Source organism: Homo sapiens, chromosome 15, assembly GCF_000001405.40.
Source record: "Homo sapiens chromosome 15, GRCh38.p14 Primary Assembly".
NCBI classification, from domain to species: Eukaryota; Metazoa; Chordata; class Mammalia; order Primates; family Hominidae; genus Homo; species Homo sapiens.
In genome coordinates, this window is record NC_000015.10 from 82,157,476 (window position 1) to 82,176,822 (window position 19,347).

The following is a 19,347-nucleotide window of genomic DNA, read 5'->3' on the forward strand; positions in this document are numbered from 1 at the left end:
AAAACATTTTATGACTTAAGCTAAAAATGCAAAATTATTCAAGTGTAGGCAGTGAATGCCATTTTTCAGTTATTAAAAAATAAGTCTACAATCGAATAACTGTTCATGTCTGAATTGAGGGCATTTCATTTTTCTCCAAAAATAAGCCGCAGTCTAAGTTCAACTGGTTTAGGAAACACTAAAACATCCCATTGATTGAGAGCTATCATTTCTCCATCGCTATCATTTTCACCTAACCTTTCTTTTAAGTCATCCAGGCATCGCTGAAGGTGGACTTCTCCTGCTGTGACTAAAACGTGCTCTCCCGTTTCCTGAATTAAAATCTGGACACAGGGATCAGCCTGGTTTAACAGTTTCATTCCTTTTACGAGCTGAGGCATTTCACCTAGGTTAACAAAACGAAATAGATTAAATATGATATAAGAACTAACACAATTCAAAGACAATGGCTCTGGCTACTGAAGGGAAAATTACATTGAAATAAACTCTTAAAACAACAATTTATTTTTCTTCCAGATAGTGTAGTGATGTGAAGAAAACTACCTTCTAGTAATTTTTTTGTACAGATAGCAAACATGACACATCCGCAAGCTTACCATCAAGACTCCCAAAGCTGATCTATATTACTTCTTCAAATACTCTGCAGATACAAGCTACCATCTTTTTACTTGTGAATTCACCTAAATCTTATAACGAATGTATACATTATATACCTAGAAATGAAACAGAGCATTTCCTCAAACATCGCCTATAAAATCAACAAATAAGCAAAAGAAACATTTAATGTGATATTCAAGAAACTGTACCAGAGCCTCATATTAAAAATAATTATTTGTGAAACTGCTTGCTAGAACTTGGGTTTTAGAATACCCTAACTAGCTACTTTATCTGGTGAGCTAAAGGCATCTTCTGCATTGTGTTCTGCATGTATTTTTCATATATAATTGCTTTTTCCTGGGAGTTGAGAGTAGGGATAGGGACTGTGACCTACATCTTGGGTTTAGCTGCTTTTTCACCCCCTTTCCACATACTCAACTGCTACTGCTCCCTCAAGGCAGGTCCAAGGAAGTCTCTTGCAGCTGCCTTAGCAGAAACCTTGGTCTTAAAGACGTTTTTATGCAGTCTTGTTTCAATTCTACATTTGAAGAAAAGACTTAGCAATTCCTCAATGCTTGGTTTTCAGCATGTCAAACAAACAAAATCACAGGAACTTTCTGCAATGCAATGATTTTCAACATGCCTTATAAAAGTCGATTAACTGGGAGCAGGAATATTAGAACTTCTATACCTATTTATTTTTGAAATAAAGTTCTAATAATAACTAACATTTCATAGCACTAACAATGTGCCAGACAAGCACTTTACATATATGAGCTCATTAACGATGAGGCGGTATGATGATTGTTCTCATTTTATAGATGAGGAAACAGGTATAGAGAAACTAATAAACTTGTGTTCAAGGTCCCAGACTAACTAAGTGGCAGAACCTGGTTTAGAAGCTGGGCAGCCAGCCAGAGAGCCCATGCTCTGCGGATGGATGTCAGCACACTTGTAGGTCAGGTGATCAAAAGCCACATATGGAATGCAAAGAATCCCAAGGGAAGACGGAAAGTGGGATTTCACTGTGTCCAGGGTTGACAGAGGCACCTTCATTTGTTCCTTTTTGGCATACTGTAATTTTTTTTTTGTCTAATTAAGTGGATTTTCAGATATTATCTAGTGTTAACTAAGCCTTCACAGAATTTTAAACCTGGCTTAAAAGGATTCCTGCAAAGATATCACTGATAATACTATAATACTAATAACATAAGCACATGGGAATAATAAAAAAAGAAATGGCAAAGCTTTTTGTCAGCTCTCCATCAAACAAATTATAAAGTAAAAACAATGGTTATCACCAAGATGAGATCCCAACAAATATTTCTGAAAAAATATATACACACTTAAATCTGTCTCTTCAAGGTAAAATAAAGGTAACAGTTTAACAATAAGAAAAGTTTTTTTTTTTTTTTCAAAAGAAATTTGAAACATGGAGACAACATTTTGAAATTAGGTGTTTGAAAATGTTGCCGCTGACAGCTATTTGGTTGCCAAAGATAACATAAATACTTCATGTATAATGTATAAAAACCTCTTACAATTTGGAAGGTGATTTTCTTAACCTGTTCTTAAAATCACCAAATGGATAGTTCAATAAAGATATAAGAATTAACAAACCTTCTAATTAGTGTAAGAAAAATGGACTGCCATCAGGAAAACTAGATGTTCACTATATACATTTTACCAAAACCTTTTAATAATTGGGAAAATGGAATACTAAAATGGATAACGTGACTTAGTAAAGGAAGCCAACGAATCATTCTTCCCTTTGGACTATGCAATTTTGTGAGGTGCCTTTTCCAGTGATAATGGTCATTAAAATCAAGTGTTTTAACAAATGGAACCTAGAAGCCGACCTTGGAATGGCTATATCACAAAGTGTTCAGGCAAGACCTTCAAAAAGAAGGAAGCATTATTGTGGTAGCCAGCCTCCAAGATGGCTCCAATCATCCTTGCCTCCTGATATTCACATTCCTGTGCAGCTCTCTCCAACAGTGAGTCATGGCTGGCCTGTGTGACCAACAGAACACTGTGGAAAGGATGATGTGTGATTCCCAAGGCTAGTTCACAAAAGGCATTATAGCTTCTGCCTTAGTGTTTTGGAATGCTGGCTGCAGCCAATCACCATGCAGGACACTCAAACAGTCATGTAGAGAGGAACTGAGATTCCCCAGCCAGCACCAACTTGTGAGCCCATGTTTGGAAGTACAGTTAAACCTTCAGATGGCTACCGCCCAAGGTGATGTATGACTACCACTACTTGAGAGACACGATGCTGAACGCTTCCAAATTCCAGACCAAGGGAACTATGAAAAATAAGTGTTGTTTCAAGCCACTAAATTTTGAAGCAATATGTTACATAGTATTAGGTAACTAAAATAATTATAAGCCACAATCACAAATCAATATTATCTATAATTATATGTACATACTGTATGTATCTTCATCAAATACAAATAAAATTAGGTATTTGATTTTCATCTTAATTTTTAAATAACTTCTATTTTGTGCTTCATAATGTATATAAAACAGCACAAAAATTCATATATCTATATAAGCATAGGTATCAAAAATTTTTTTTAACTAATATGGATAAAGGATAAAACAATTCTAGAAACAAATTACTCTGCTCAGATAAACAGGATTTCTTGGATTCCCACAAGTGAAGATCCAGCATTGTCTCTGAGGCAGTGATCTGAATTCTGACCTCACTGCTTCCTAACTGTATGGCCTTGGGCAAATTAATTAACTTCTCTAAGCTTCAGTTTCCCTCATGTGAAGATGAGAATAAAAAGAGTATCCTAATAAACAGGGCTTTTGGGAGGATTAAATGAGATAATCAATGTAAAATCCTTAGTACAGTGTGTGGCATACAGCAAGGTTCAATTATAATGAAGAAAATAATAATTGCTTTGGAACATTTGTAGTTCTCTGTGTTGAGTTTGTAGTTGACCTGTGGGCATGAAGTAGAGGGTGGCTGCCATGAGATTTTGACCCCCACTTGGGAAATTAGAGAAAGAAAAGTGGAAGAACAAATGCTCACGATTTGCTTCTCCCTGAAAGAAAAGAAGCAAACTGTTGTCTTCTGGATTAATCTAGTTGTCACAATAAAAAAAAAAGAGAGGACATGGGGATACGTGGTCTATTCAAGAAAAACAATGAATGTGTCCAGTGCCTCTCAGAGGCAGTATTACTGCAAAGTCTTTTAAGAGAGTGAAATATCCCAATAGTCGTCAGACATGTAATCTACGAATAAGGGGGTCACTGCCCCAAAATAAGGATGAGCATAAGTTACTAGGGCAAAGAGTAAACAGAAAATAAATATCCTCTGAAAGCTCATAGGAACAAGGAAGGGAAGTTTCCCCAGACATTCTGAATGTAAAATAACATGTGGACAATGTAAAAACACCAAGAAGGCAAAACAAAGAGTACAAAATTCAGACACTGAAAAATCAAATGGGGTGCTTCAGTAACACAGTCAATAAATGCAAGGTAAATCCAGTAAAAACAATATACTTAAAGGGAAGAAAATAGCAATACTCCTTTTAAAATTATGAAGAAAATTATGTGCCCCTTCTAACCATTTTAGTTTACTTTTTACAAAGTTCAGATAAATTTAATGTAAACACATGAGGAAGTACACTTTGGCCTACAAATTGATAATCCTGAATAATTCCATTTATTAGACTATCTCATTTATGGAAAGGAAAGGAACTTAATCTTACTATGAATCAGCTATAGTACAGGAAATACACTAGGTACTAGAATCCTTCATCTCATGTAGCCAGTCCTTCAAAGAAGCTGGTTCTTTAGGGTTGGGCTTTTACTTAGCTTCCATAACAGAGACCACAGACTAGCACATAACCATAACAGAGCCTTTTAAAAATTATAAATTTCTATTATTAAAATATCACATCTTAGGCCAGGCACAGTGGCTCACACCTGTAATCCCAGCACTCTAAGAGGCTGAGGTGAGAGGACTGCTTAAGCTCAGGAGTTTAGGACCAGTCTGGGTGACATGGGGAGAACCCATCTACAAATAATGAAAAAAATTAGCTGGGTATGGTGACATATGTCTGTGGTCCCAGCTACTTGGGAGGCTGAGGCAGGAGGATCTCGTGAGCCCAGGAGGTCAAGGCTGCAGTGAATCGTGATTGTGACTGAGCCACTGCACTCCGGCCTGGGTGACAGTGAGATCTTGTCTCAAACCAAATAAATAAACAAGTAAAATTATGGCTTAAATTATTTTTTCCTATTTTTAAAATGTATGTGCAAATGCAATAAACTAAGTAAGAAAGAGGATACAAATAAATAGTAGAAACATCTACGAATAAGCTATGGTTGCCAGACTCAAATATCACAACTTAAATAAAACTGAGCTTTCTTGTATGTATTTCTTAGGATTGAACACGGTAGACAGGGGTTAGAGCCAGCCTAGTGAGTAGAATAAAAGAACAAAATCACGAAAGGCCAGGATCTGAACAAGCCTAAAAGAGGAAGCATGTTTTACACAGAATGGGATAAATCCGTGTAGCAACCAAGGCACTGTGTCAGTCCACAGTGACAGCCCACAAAAAATTCCTATCTCGAGGCTGAAGGCAGATGGCTATTTACTAGGGCTGGCCCCAAAGGTCAGAGGTCCAGTCCTCCAAGTATCTGCTCTGGGGATCCAGGGATCCTTAATGGCTAGGGGTATGTCTTAGAACTTGAGACAGCAATGAGTTCAGAAGGCTTAGCTCCAGGGAGAGGAGGGATACATATGTTCAGGAGCAATGAGGCCATTGTACACCTCAACAGAAAACTACCATTTTACCATTTGTCCTTTGGTTTCCCTAAGGCATGGTCTGGAGATTCTTCACTGACAATCACTAGCACTGGAATAGCAAAGTCACAGTGATTCAGGATTAGCAATAGTCATGGGACGTGAAATACAAAAGTAAAAAAGGATTGACTAGGCAAATACCATAAGCCAAAGACTAAGGAGTTGTTATTATATGGTCAGGTATATGTGAATGTCAGGTGGCCAGCAGGAAAGGTGCAGAAAGTGGTTTCTAAACAGACGGGAAATTCTCAGTGTGCAGATAATCTGTCAAACCTAGAGGGAAGAGGCAAATGATGAATTCTGAACTAAGGAGCTTGAGATAAGATTCCAACTAAGAAGAAGTCACATAAAACATGAAATTTGGCCGGGCACTTTAGTTCACGCCTGTAATCCTAGCAGTTTGGGAGCCCGAGGCAGGCAGATGACCTGCGGTCAGGAGTTCAAGACCAGCCTGGCCAACTGGCGAAACCCCGTATCTACTAAAAATACAAAAATTAGCCAGGTGTGGTGGTGGATGCCTGCAATCCCAGCTATTCAGGAGGCTGAGGCAGGAGAATCGCTTGAACCCAGGCAGCAGAGGTTGAGTCAAGATCACACCAGTGTACTCTAGCCTGCGCAACAGAGTGAGACTCCGCCTCAAAAAAATAAATAAATAGATAAATAAACATAAGCTTTGCTAAGCTACAATCCTATGCCAGGGTTGTGGGGGATGTAGAGATGACCTTGTCTTTGCCATCAAGAAGATGCAGTCTCCCTGGACAGCAAAGGTACCTGTAACCATGGCATGTTCCTAAGACAGAAGTTAGATGCCCTTTGAAGAGTTGCTTCTACTATAGACCTCAATGAAAATTCATTATATACTGCTGAAACAAGTCATGAGGAATCAAATACTAAATACATGCATATGCTTTAAAAGTATAATAAACATATGCTTTTAAAAATAAGGTCATCTTACTTGGATGTTTTGGTTCAACAGCAACTCTCACAATAGGAGTGGCTTCGAAGTTGAGTGGTATAAATGGTGGGCAGGATGGCAGGCTACACAGTGTTGCAGATTTCAGCACAAAATCTTGAAGGCCTCCTATTCCTGTAGGAAGAAAAGATCCATACGGTCAATAAGGGATGATAAATTCTGAATTTATGTCAGAAAAACAGCAGCATCAACCCAGTATATGTATCACAGAGCCAAATGCTTCCAAAATGTTGCAAGAAATGAGGCGGACCTGCACTGTTTTTTTTTTTGTACACCTGGATACCATTTGATTGCTGTCAAAATACAGAAATTCTGCCTTTTGTTTCCCACATGTACAAATCCTATTATATCAGATTGGGCTAATGCATAGCTACTTTGACCACAGAAATGATCACTTCCAGATATATTTGTCTGAAAACACTGATTATTTCTAACACTTAGTTGGTTTTTAAAAATATATTAATTTGATGAAGATGGGTCTCTACTGAAATAATCTTCTGCCAAATCCATCTGCATATGAGTAAAGGGAATTTAGAAACTTAAAATGTGATGTTGCTATGTAGTATGTTACCCTAAGCTACCCTCCATACTCCCCCTGTTTTAGAAGAGAATCCTAGTCAACCCCTTCCCCCTGCCATACACTCACTTCAGACTTTTGGCTGATGATTGCATGAGACTCTGAAGGTTGCATATTTGTCTTTGAGCAGATGGAAGCAAAAAGAATGTCTTAGAAAGAGTGATAAGGGGCCAGGTGCAGTGGCTCACGCCTGCAATCTCAGCACTTTGGGAGGCCGAGGCCGGCGGATCACAAGGTCAGGAGATCGAGACTATCCTGGCTAACACGGTGAAACCCCGTCTCTACTAAAAATACAAAAAATTAGCCGGGCGTGGTGGTGGGCGCCTGTAGTCCCAGCTACTTGGGAGGCTGAGGCAGGTGAATTGCTTGAACCTGGGAGGCGGGGGATGCAGTGAGCCAAGATCGTGCCACTGCACTCCAGTGTGGGCGACAGAGCGAGATTCCACCTCAAAAAAAAAAAAAAAAGAGTGATAAAGAGGCATATTGAATCTCACACCCAGACTATGAGTAGACAACATTTTAGAACAAATTAAGAAACACATACAAAGGGCCAGTGCAGTGGCTCATGCCTGTAATCCCAGCACTTTGGGAAGTCAAGGAGGATCACTTGAGGTCAGGAGTTCAAGACCAGCCTGGGTAACAGAGTGAGACTTCTTGCTACAAAAAATTCAGCCAGGCATGGTGGTGCACACCTGTCTATAGTCCCAGGTACTTGAGAGGTTGAGGTGGGAGGATCGCTTAAGCACAGGAGTTCAAGACTGGGTGACAGACTGAGACCCCGTCAAAAAGGACAGGAAAGGATAGGACAGGAGAGAGAAAAAGAGAGAGAGTGAAAGAGAGAGAGCGAGAGAAACACACACACACGGGCCATTTTTGTGCTTTTGGGTTGAAGAAAGGAAACAAAGAAAATCACTTTGCTGTCCTTAGTTGACCAATTGATGTAAAGGTACAGGGTGATGGGAGGCCACCGAATCACACATCCAGACTGGTGGAGAGGAACTGAAGCAGAGGCTTCAGGTACACAAACTTGGAGGATAATTTAGAGGTTTCTTGTTGTCCGACTACACAGTATGGAAACCTCCATCTAACATCCACCTGAATATCTACGGTCTGACAGCCACTAGAATTTATCACCTCGCTACATTAACAGATAGCTCCAACTTTAAGAAAATCTTCCTTGCAGTATTCTAAAATCTGTCTTTCCCCATCTCCACACATCGTTCTTAGTGTGTGGAACCTCCAAAGGTTCACAGAAAATGTGCTTCTTTCACTTTCACCAACTACCTTTTGGATTTTGAAAGCATTTGTCAGATCCTTTTAACTCTGTTCTGCCTCACATTAGGTATCATTAGCTCCTTTAACTAATCAGCACAGGACATGATTTACAGACCTTTTGTGTGCATGGGATCCTCTTCAGACTAAAGTTTCTAGGATGTTAAATTCCTCCTGTGCCTCCAGTGTACTTCTTTGGTCAAAGTCTAAATTTCTTATTATTGTACCTCTTAGCTCAGCACACACAGTAATACCTGGCTATAGCTTCTTGTTTACATCTCCCATTGGTACTATGATGTAACAGATCTAGGTCTAAGTTTCCACTAAGTCTACTAGAAATAACATCTCCCTAGAGGCTAAGGGTTTAGGAAAACCCCATAGTAAATATTCCCTTTCAAACCTCATCCATCCTGCTTCTGACCTCTGACCAGCATGCATTTCCTTCCTACACACACAGCACATGGTTTCAATGAAAAGATAAATGCTGGTCTTTCCTCTGTATTACCAGGGATGCAGACTGCAGATGGTCAGTATATTTTAAACACTGTCTCTTTGAACTTCTGGTTTACATTTTGCTGTTCCAATTACCGAATCTACTCTTGCTATTTAGATATGCCCAGATTTGCTAACATGATTATAATTCTCCCAGAAACAAAAAGTCAAGAGACCACAATGTTCATAGCTAAGATTAGAATTTATGGAAAAAGCAATGCTCCAAAGATAGTAAAAACTTCACTACCTGTACTACATGTCAACATTTTTACTTATTTTTAAATATAATTTTAAAATCTAGGAAAGGGAGGACCATTAAGATGATCTAGATGAATCACTATAAAGTGACTTTAAAATTCCTTTTCAGAATTTCTTGATTTGCTATCAATTATTAAATGCACAACTTGTTCTTTACACAAAATACAGTCTGAAGCAACTTTTTGTTTTTAAAAATAACATCAGCAAGTACCATCTTGAAAAAGGACATTATACCCACAATCCCATCATTCTAATATTGCCACTATTTTCATTTTTATATTTCTCTTTTTTCTTCTCTATTGTCACACATAATTTACACTGTTGTAATAACCATAAACTTCTTGTCCTTCTTTTTTCTAATTAAATCATGTGATTTTCATTTCAGTCACTTTAGTGAAAATTATAACAATTAGGGACAAAGAATTTCTTCACAGAAAGCACATTTGCTAAAGCATTTTTCAACTGGAATTGGGGGATGAGAAGTATGTTCCCTCCGGGTAATCATTTCAGAATTCCCAGGGTAGGAAGAGTGATAGCACGGGGGAATAAAATTCAAAATTAGCGTGCCATTGATTTGATTTTAGTCACTATATTTATTTTCACATTTCATGGATTATAGAGGGCACCAGTATTTTTTTATGTTTATCAAAAAAGTACATGTGATTTACAAGAAATAAAAGAGAAAGCAGGTTGAGGAACATGGAGCTAAAGCAATTTACTAGATGCCAAGAATTCTAGTTTTTATAGAAACACCAGTACTTTTGTCTGATTGAAGATAAGTGATCAAACCCAAGCCCTTTATGATCCTGATTTTTCTCTATACAACAAATAAAATTAAATAAATTGGCATGTGAACTCTATGTTCACACAGACTGGAATGACAACTGGGTACATAGGTCCTTGCTAGACTGTATACTACACCCTTCAAATTCCTCATAATCAAAAACCAGTATTTTGTAAAGACTGTTGAGCCAAATTTTTTTTTCTAGGCTGTCCCAAATGTTTCCCTTTAAGAAGAATTTCAGAAAGAAATATTAAGGAGAGTATCTTTTATGATATGAGACTGAAAAAAATTGTGTGAGGCTTGAGAGATGAATTCACCTTCTGTTGAAAACTTTTTTACTATTCTTAACAACTCCCTGTTGCACAGGTTTAATCAATCTAGGATGAGGTTACACTGGCAAGCAGGAAGATGGTAAAACCATTAGTGAATACTAACACTGCTTTCTGGGGGCGAGCCTGTTAGCTGTCTGGATAGGGAACAGAATTACCATCTTCAGGCAAATTTGGATTTGTAAAGTGCTCTTTCATTGTACTGTTACAATTTAATTCTAACATTATTAGAATTTTAAAAATTTGTGGGAAAAAACGTTAGAATATGGTCTCTTAATCACCAAAGTTTTATTTCAAACTGACTTTAACATTCTTCACCCAAGAACCATCAACCTGTTCCTGTTAACCTGTTTAAGCTGAATTAATGGATCTCTTTACACCTTTGCAGTAAATGCAAGTCATATGTCATGAACATCCATACAGCCTCATGCCTGTGAGAGAACATCACTTTGGAAGAGAGATGAGGATTTTTTTTAAGTACAAGCTCCCCAGGTAGTGGGAATCTAGAGAACCCTTAGTTTTGAAAGACCATCTTCTGCTTTAGGCCCCCTTGCATTTGGATACCAAAGCAGCTCATATCCTCTGTTTCCAATTTTATGCCTTGGTTTTGTATCTTTCATCAAAACTCAAGATTCTGCACTCTTTGACTCAACTACAAAGAATAACAGGGAATCCACACGCTTTATAACTCTTGTCACCCTTTTCCAAGCCTGCTTGGCCAGCATCTCCAAAGTGGATCAGTATTGCTTAGCTAAGGTTTTCAGAAGATGGGTCAAGTCTGTCCATCATGCTAAACAAGTCCATTAAATCAACTGCCCTTTAACTTCTTGGTGTTATAGTAGGCCTTAGGGAAAAATCTTGCAACAATGACATCACTATGTCATAAATTTTTTTCTTCTCATAGGAACAGACTGAGCTAATAACAGTTTTCTGTCTGTTTGTTTTTGAGACGGAATCTCGCCCTGTTGCCCAGACTGGAGTGCTTGTGGCGCGAGGTCAGCTCACTGCAACCTCCGGCTCCTGGGGTTCCAGCGATTCTCCCATCTCAGCCTCCCAAGTAGTTGGGATTACAGGCACTTGCCACCACGCCCGGCTAATTTTTTGTATTTTCAGTAGAGATGGGGTTTCACCATGTTGGCCAGACTGGTCTTGAACTCCTGACTTCAAGTGATCCGCCCTCCTTGGCCTCCCAAAGTGCTGGGATTACAGATGTAATAATAGTTCTTACACATATTACTTCAAGATCTGTGGGCCCTTTTCTCAGAAGAGAAACTACCCAGTAAAATGAGAAGAAAAAGTAACACCTAAAGAATGAAAACTCTTTTTTCCTGGAAATATGCTGGCTTACTATCTTTGTATTTGAGAAGAGGTAGAAACTTGTCCCTCAGTGTCCTGAACAAGTTGAGTTTTATTATGTGTCACTGTAAGGTCCCAATTTATGCCCCAAGAAAGGATCCTGAGACAGCCAGACTACCATCATTCAATTAAGAACAGACTGACCCAATGGAGCTTGGTTCTCATCAAGGGAATAACGCGGTTCTCAGTGTGGGGGTCTAGGATTAAAACAGTGGAAGAAATTCCATCTGGGGCTTGGAAACAGAGTAGAATGCCTGAGTGGGGCATAGTATTTTATCATGTCTTGGTGTGTCCTAACAGGACAAAAAGAATCTACAGAGGATCTACCCAAAAAGGATCTACCCACACTCACAACTGTATCATTTTCCTGGTGAGAATGAAGCTCCATTTGGGTCAGTCTGTTCCTAATAGAATGGTGGTGGTCTGGCTTTCTTATGATCCTTTCTTGGAGCATAAATTGGGATCTTACAGAGAAATTAGAGAGAACTGAGGTAGAGCTGCTAAGTCTTGGTGGTTTTTTAGGAGCTGGGAAGAAGGGACAAGAAGGAAACAAGAATAAAATCCAGATTCCTGACATGGACAACTAGGCAGATAAGTTACTAGTTCAAAGCAGTTGTCTATTCTTCTTTTAGGTTTATAACTTTTATCATTCATATTAGTTCTTTATGTAATAAACATTTGAACTCTTTCATATTTTTTTTTCTCCAGACTATAGTTTCTCTTTTCATTTTGCTTCTATTTTTTTCTCTACAGTAACTTTTTGAGCTTTTTCCATTTGGCGTCTAAGTTTCAAAGCTCAGGAAGCTGTGCTTTCAAATAATTGATAAACAGTTATTCAACTTTCTGTTAGTCTTTCAATGAGTTCAGTTTTAACGGCAAGGACCAAAATAGGCACTTCATAGATTCCTCAATGAATGAGTGCACATAAGCACAGTTGCGGTCTTCACAGAGTTTAAAATCTGGTGAGGGACAAAGGCAAATACACAGTTAATTACGATACAATGTGACACATCTTATAATAGGAAAAGTATACTTTTTGTTCATGTGAAGACAGAAACCGAAAAGGTTATGGGCCTCCTGGAGAAAATGGCATTCAGGAGTATGGAAATAACCACACAGAGGACATGGGAAGGAGTGATGAGGTGTGGAAATGGCACCACTGGATGTCTTTTTTTTTTTTTTTTTTTTTTTTTTGAGACGGAGTCTCGCTCTGTCGCCCAGGCTGGAGTGCAGTGGCGGGATCTCGGCTCACTGCAAGCTCCGCCTCCCGGGTTCATGCCATTCTCCTGCCTCAGCCTCCCAAGTAGCTGGGACTACAGGCGCCCGCCACTACGCCCGGCTAATTTTTTGTATTTTTAGTAGAGACGGGGTTTCACCGTTTTAGCCAGGATGGTCTCGATCTCCTGACCTCGTGATCCGCCCGCCTCGGCCTCCCAAAGTGCTGGGATTACAGGCGTGAGCCACCGCGCCCGGCCCCACTGGATGTCTAAGTGAGAAACCAAGGTCATTATTGACAGCTGCAGGGTGGAGCACAAGGCACAAGTGAAAAGACTTTTCCATCCCATTCTTTTTCTTTTCTTTAGTCAACATGCATTCTTGTTATGTTCAATTTGGAATCCAAGGAACTTGAATGTTATAAAGTTCTAACCTTATGCAATAAGTGGAAGTAGTGGCAGTGGTGGTTCTAACAGTCAGAGTAGCAGTGGTTTTATTCATAGATTTGTTAATCAAATTTAAGAGCTATTTTGGAGTATGACATAAATTGCATATTTAATTTTTTTGTATATATTGTTAACTACAAGGAAAGCTGTAATAACTTCTTTATGAGGCATAAATTCATATTCAGGATCAGATCCATTTATGAGTTTTGTATCCTGTCCCATTTACCTAAATTTATATTTTATATAGTAACACATGGTTTTAAGTGATACTCCTTTAACATGTGCTGCATTCCAATTCAAATGACTTAAATAAATGGGGGAAACACACAAGATTCAGTAAGTCAGAAGCACAAAATGCTTAGTATAGTTGAAAACAATGCTGGAAATTTGTTTTAAGACAAAAAGAAAGGGGAAGAGATACGGCTTTACACAACCAGGAAATCATAACTGAATTCCTTCTACCTTTAAACCCTAAATATTTCCAATTAAAATCAGGAAACAGAGTCACTTCTGGATGAAATGGCAACTTCAGCACAGGTATACAAATGGTCCTGATTGAAATGATCAAAGAAACAGAAAACTAAAGAAAAGCTGAATGAGTAGGTGAAAACTAGAGGAGGGCACCTTGAACTGTGAGCTATTTCTGTTAGTCGTGGATCAGATTAAAGGAAAATATTAAGGGTCAGTTCATAACTCTCTTCTTGAGCAAGTGGCACAACCTCAGGGGATAAAAATAAATAGGCAGTGTAGTGACAGCGGTCTGTTAGACAACAGATCAATGGGAAAAAATGAAGAGCCCAGAAAAAGACCAACACGTGTGGGAATGTGGAAATGACGAAGGGGCAACAGTGGCAGACAGGCAGGCCTATTCGGTAAACAGCATTGAAACAATTAGCCAATGAAATGTGAAAAATGATATAATTGCATCTGCGTCATACCATCTAGAAAAAGAAATTTCATGTAGATCAAAGGCCTAAATGTGAAACATAAAACCTGAAAGCACAAATCATATGATACCATAAGACTGAAGATTTGTAAGACTCACTACATTATTTTAAAAACTTCAAAACAAAAGATACCAAACAAATATGGGAACAACAGACGCTGTGGACTACTAGAGAGTGGGGAGGGAGGTTGGATAAAAAACTACCTATCAGGTACTAAGCTTACTACCAAAGTGATAGAATCCATACTCCAAACCTCAGCATCATGCAATACTCTCATGTAACAAATCTGCACACATACCTCCTGTACTGAAAATAAAAGTTAAAATTTATATATACACACACACACACACACCCTGTAAAGATAAAAGCTACAAAGAGATGCTTTCAATGTCGAAAGGGGACAAAAAATTTTAAGTATATGTAAACAACTAGTACAGATCAATGAAAAAAGGCAACCCAATAGGAATCTAGACAAAGAATATAAATAGTCCAAGAAAAGACATTAAAAGAAAAGAAAGCCTCAGTCAAAAAACATTAAAAAAAAAAAGAATCTCATTGATAATAAGGTAAATGCAAATTAAAACCAGATACTATTTCACACCAATACAACTGGTATAAGTCTGAAGAAACCACGTGCTGGCAGTTATGTGCAGAAAAAGTAGGTCTTATGTACTGTAGACAAGAACAAAAATTGTTACAACTATGAGCGAGAATAAGCTGCATTATTCATTAAAGTATGATTAGACTGCGCAACTCACCAATGTGATTTCTAGTTGTATATCCCAGAGCAGTGTTGAGAACAGGCACAATTGTGTACCAACAGCACATCACCCACAGCCATACAACCCCTCTCTAGGTGATTTAGTGAGTGACTGGTGGGAGCGTTTCTGATTGGGGCCTACTACTGGCAGTTAGTGAGCAGGGGCCAGTGCTTTGCATGTGTGAAAATATCTTCCCGTACAAGAATTACCCTCTTTGTACAGCTTTTGAATATTCTGCTGGACAAACCTGTTCATAATAATCTGAGTTTAAATCTAATTCCATTTTAATAACAAAGACTTTTTTGTAGTTTAATATACACCGAATTTTCAGAAATGGAATTACCACGTAAATCAAAGGAAGAATGAACTTGTTCTGAAAACAAGCTGTTCAACATTTTATCGACAGTCACTCATGGCGTATGAGTCATCAATACCATATATCTGTATCAAGCTTCATCTGTGACTGTCACAGAAACATGGTGACTACAAATATCTGACTTAACTCATGTAGTCAAACTGGAACATTTATATACTAAAATGCATGTTATTTTATTGTAAATCACTTCACTTTTATTTATCCCTTACATTAAAGTATTATACTGATATTTTTGAAATTATGCAGGCAGGCAGATTATTTTATCTTTGAATTTCATTCCTGGGTAGTAAAAGTGATGTCAGAATATTTGTTATGAAAAGAAGGTAGAGTTTGACAGGGTTAAGAAGTACCCCCTAGAAAAACTCATCTATGTGCACAAGGAAAAAAATGTTCAAAAGTATTCACGGTAATGTGTTTGTCACAGCAAAAAATCGAAAGCACCCTTCAATATCCACCAACAGGAGATTGAAAAAATAAATTATAATGAATTCATACAATGGAATCAACATAGAAAAAAAATCTGTAAAACATAAAACAGTACAATAATAGCATGTTACAGAAGGTCATGAACAATATGATACTATTATGCAAAGTTTAAAAATTAAAAAAAATATATTGCTGACACCTACTGAAATTACAAACAAGTTTTAAAGCATTGGAAGACAAACTTACACAGCAAGTTTCAAGAAGTGGTACTGCTGAGGAATATGGGAGTTATTGATGGGATAAGGGACTTAGATAGCTAACATTTCACCAGGTATAAAGAAAGTTGTACAATTAAAGAAAAACATGAAAATTAGTTGAGTCTGGATGGCAGGTACATGAACGTTCATTATATTATCTATTGTCTGAAATACTTTAAAGTTTTAAAAAGTGAATGATTGTTTCAGTCAGCTCCTGGTTTTTATCTTTTTATTTCTGTAATTTGCAAATATTCTATAATTAACTTGTTTGTAAAAAAGTATATCTTTCCTCTCTTAAAATGTGTGTACTTTAAAATTACAACTTTAAATGCATAAATAAAATATATAAGAAAACATATATATGCACAGAAAAAAAGAGCTGGAGGATATATTCCAAAATGTCAATAGTGGCTACGTCTGGATAGTGGGGTTAAAGGTCATTTTCATTTTATTTTTTCTATATTTAAACAAATGGTCTCACCAAATGTACTATTTTTATGATGATAAAACAATCTTTTTTTCTTTTTAAAAAATACATTTGGGCCAGGCGCGGTGGCTCACACCTGTAATCCCAGCACTTTGGGAGGCCGAAGCAGGCGGATCACGAGGTCAGGAGATGGAGACCATCCTGGCTAACATGGTGAAACCCTGCCTCTACTAAAAATACAAAAAATTAGCCGGAGGTGGTGGCGGAAGCCTATAGTCCCAGCTACTTGGGAGGCTGAAGCAGGAGAATGGCGTGAACCCGGGAGGCGGAGTTTGCAGTGAGCCGAGTTGGTGCCACTGCACTCCAGCCTGGGTGACAGAGCGAGACTCCTCTCAAAAAAGGAAAAAAAAAACCATTTATGTCAGGGGAGAAGGGGAGAGCACGAACACAGTTCTCTCTACCACAAAGTATGCAGTAGAGCTTCCCACATTTGGGGAAATCGCAGGGGTCAGCACACCTGGAGTGTACTGAATAAGCCTCGCCCTGGGAAACCAACTTTGTGATCTTGGTATCTCCCCTACCAAGTAAGTACCTATGATGATTAAAAAAAAATGTTTAAAAATAACTAGAAGTTAAAAAAAGCCTTTTTGTTATTTCTGTGCCTTGAATGCTCACATTGTTTGAATTACCACAGGGCAATGAACCTGGGATTATACTGTAAATGGATTACATTTGCATTAATCAATTTAGACCCTAGAAACTGAAACTGTGGTCTCACCTCTGGATTGCCAGACTTGGATTTCATGGTGCCTGGTGTCCACAGAGGGAGTCTTGGATTCCTATCTGATAGGGAACTGGAATGTTTCTTGAGGTTAACCAAGGTTCTGAGAGTGAGGAGTCTTAGCCTTCAGTTTAAGAAGGCTGTGTTGAACCTTAGTCCCACTGCCAAACCCTAATCTCCAGATCTACTCACAGGCCACCGTGGAATTATATGTGGGCCTGCATCACCCGATGCCACTCCTGTGTCCTTTACCATTTGCAATGATCACTTTTCCAAAGGTTAATATTTTCTACGAAGTCAATTCAGGAATTATGGAATTTGGAGGGTCCTGTAGAATCTTACACTCTAGTACACTATGATTTCCTTGAGCGCAGGCTCTGAACAGTTGCTGAAAGAATATGTCATATGTCTTCTGTGCTTTTTAGATTTATTTCATTAAGTGTCTAGTAATGACTAATACTTATAAACTTATGCTGTGCACCACAGGGGAGACAGAGATGAAGACAGAAATCCCACATTCTATTTTCTCACATTTTCTTATTGTAAGTGCTCCTGAAGCATTTTTACAGTGCAGTCACATTATTACTGAGTATTTATTCCAATCCCAAGCTTCAAAAGCTTGGGATTTTTGAGACTATTGCCCTACGTCTGCATCTTGATGTGGCACAGGTACTGACTATGACACTGATACAGCTTACTTGAAGTAACAATATTAGGCAAAAGTAACAATATTAGAATGTTAACTAATTTTTAAGCAAATACAGATCATTTCAAGTCAAGCCAGTTATCTTTTCCAGGGCACGCATTACTTCCTGGTGAGAAGCAGCACAAGAACAGAAGCAGTTCTGTTATTGTGGACTGAAAAAATACAACCTTCACATTTTCTTTCTTACTTAGTAGATCAATGAAATAACCAGAACTACAGGTTGAATTTTTGGTATTAATACCATTTTCAATATGAATGGGGTTTTATACTACAGTAGTTATGGGTTTTAATTTTATGTTATAAAAACACAGTATTGGCCGGGTGCAGTGGCTCACGCATGTAATCCCAGCACTTTGGGAGTCATGAGTTAAAAGACCAGCCTGGCCAACATGGCAAAACCCCGTCTCTACTAAAAATACAAAAATTAGCCGGCAAGGTGGCAGGCACCTGTAATCCCAGCTACTCGGAAGGCTGAGGTGGGAGAATTGCTTGAACCCAGGAGGTTCAAGACCTGGGCAACAGAGCAAGACTACATCTTAAAAACTGAATTTTGAAGATTACTTAGAAATAAAGTAGAATATGTAATTCAATGTAAATAGGATGATATAAAAATAGAATAATAATAACTAAAATACAAACTGTAGGAATGCTAGTATTGAGATTACAAGTAATCTTTTAAAACCAAAAAATTATAATTTTTACCAGGAAAAGTTATTAGACACAAGCTACTATAATTTTTGAATTAAAGAGCTGCCATTATTGAAGATGTAAACTACACAAACTGATATTTGGCAATGGTGACACTGCAGTACAGTGGGGATGTGATAATGGTTCTAAGTCAACCAGATACCTGATTGAAAAAAATAATTGACATTGACTCCCACCTGACCTCTGTTACAAAAACCAATGTCAGACGGATTGCAGATCTAAATACAATAAGTAAAACAAAAAAAAGCTTATGGAATAACAACATAGAATATCACCATGACTTTGGAATAAGCAGATTTCTTAAACAAGACACAAAAAGCGTTAGTCGTAAAAGAAAAAATTGAAAAATATTAGATTATATTAAAACTAAGAACTTCCGTTTATCAAGAGACATCATTAGATGGCAGAAAGATAACTCGCAAAGGAGAAAATATTTGCAATACATATACCCATCCAGGGACTTTTATGCAGAATATATAAAGAATGCCTATAAATCAATACAAAAAAGGCAGAGAATCTATAAGTGGGTAAAGACTTAACAGGCATCCCACAAATCAGTAAACAACAATGGTCAATATATAAATGAAAAGGACCTTTCACTTCTCTAGTCACCAGCAAAATCTACGTAATATACTACCCCATACACACAAAAATGACTCGAATGAAAGCAAAAACAAGTATGGACAAAGATACAGAGCAACTGGAACTTTCAGATACCCCTGGTGGAAGCATAAAGTGGTACATTGACTAAGCTTGAGCATATGCCTACTCTATGACCCAATAATTTCTCTTCCATCAGAAAGCAGACACATTAACCAAAAGACATGTATAAGA

The 19,347-nt window shown here is 37.9% G+C and overlaps 1 protein-coding gene and 1 pseudogene across 6 annotated transcripts in view; both read right to left on the bottom strand.

The window, feature by feature from the left end:
* Positions 1-19,347, bottom strand: part of EFL1 (elongation factor like GTPase 1) — a 132,502-nt gene that overhangs the window by 27,243 nt on the left and 85,912 nt on the right. For all 6 annotated transcript variants that reach the window (NR_136410.2, NM_001040610.3, NM_001322844.2 and 3 more), the window contains 2 exons: positions 6,378-6,509; positions 238-385 (listed from right to left, as the gene is read on the bottom strand). Coding sequence is in view for 5 of the 6 variants with exons in the window: in NM_001040610.3 (NP_001035700.1) it covers positions 238-385; positions 6,378-6,509 (280 nt within the window). In the remaining variant the exon portion in view is untranslated. The remainder of the gene's footprint in view (positions 1-237; positions 386-6,377; positions 6,510-19,347) is intronic.
* RNU1-77P (RNA, U1 small nuclear 77, pseudogene) lies at positions 16,750-16,909 on the bottom strand (annotated as a pseudogene).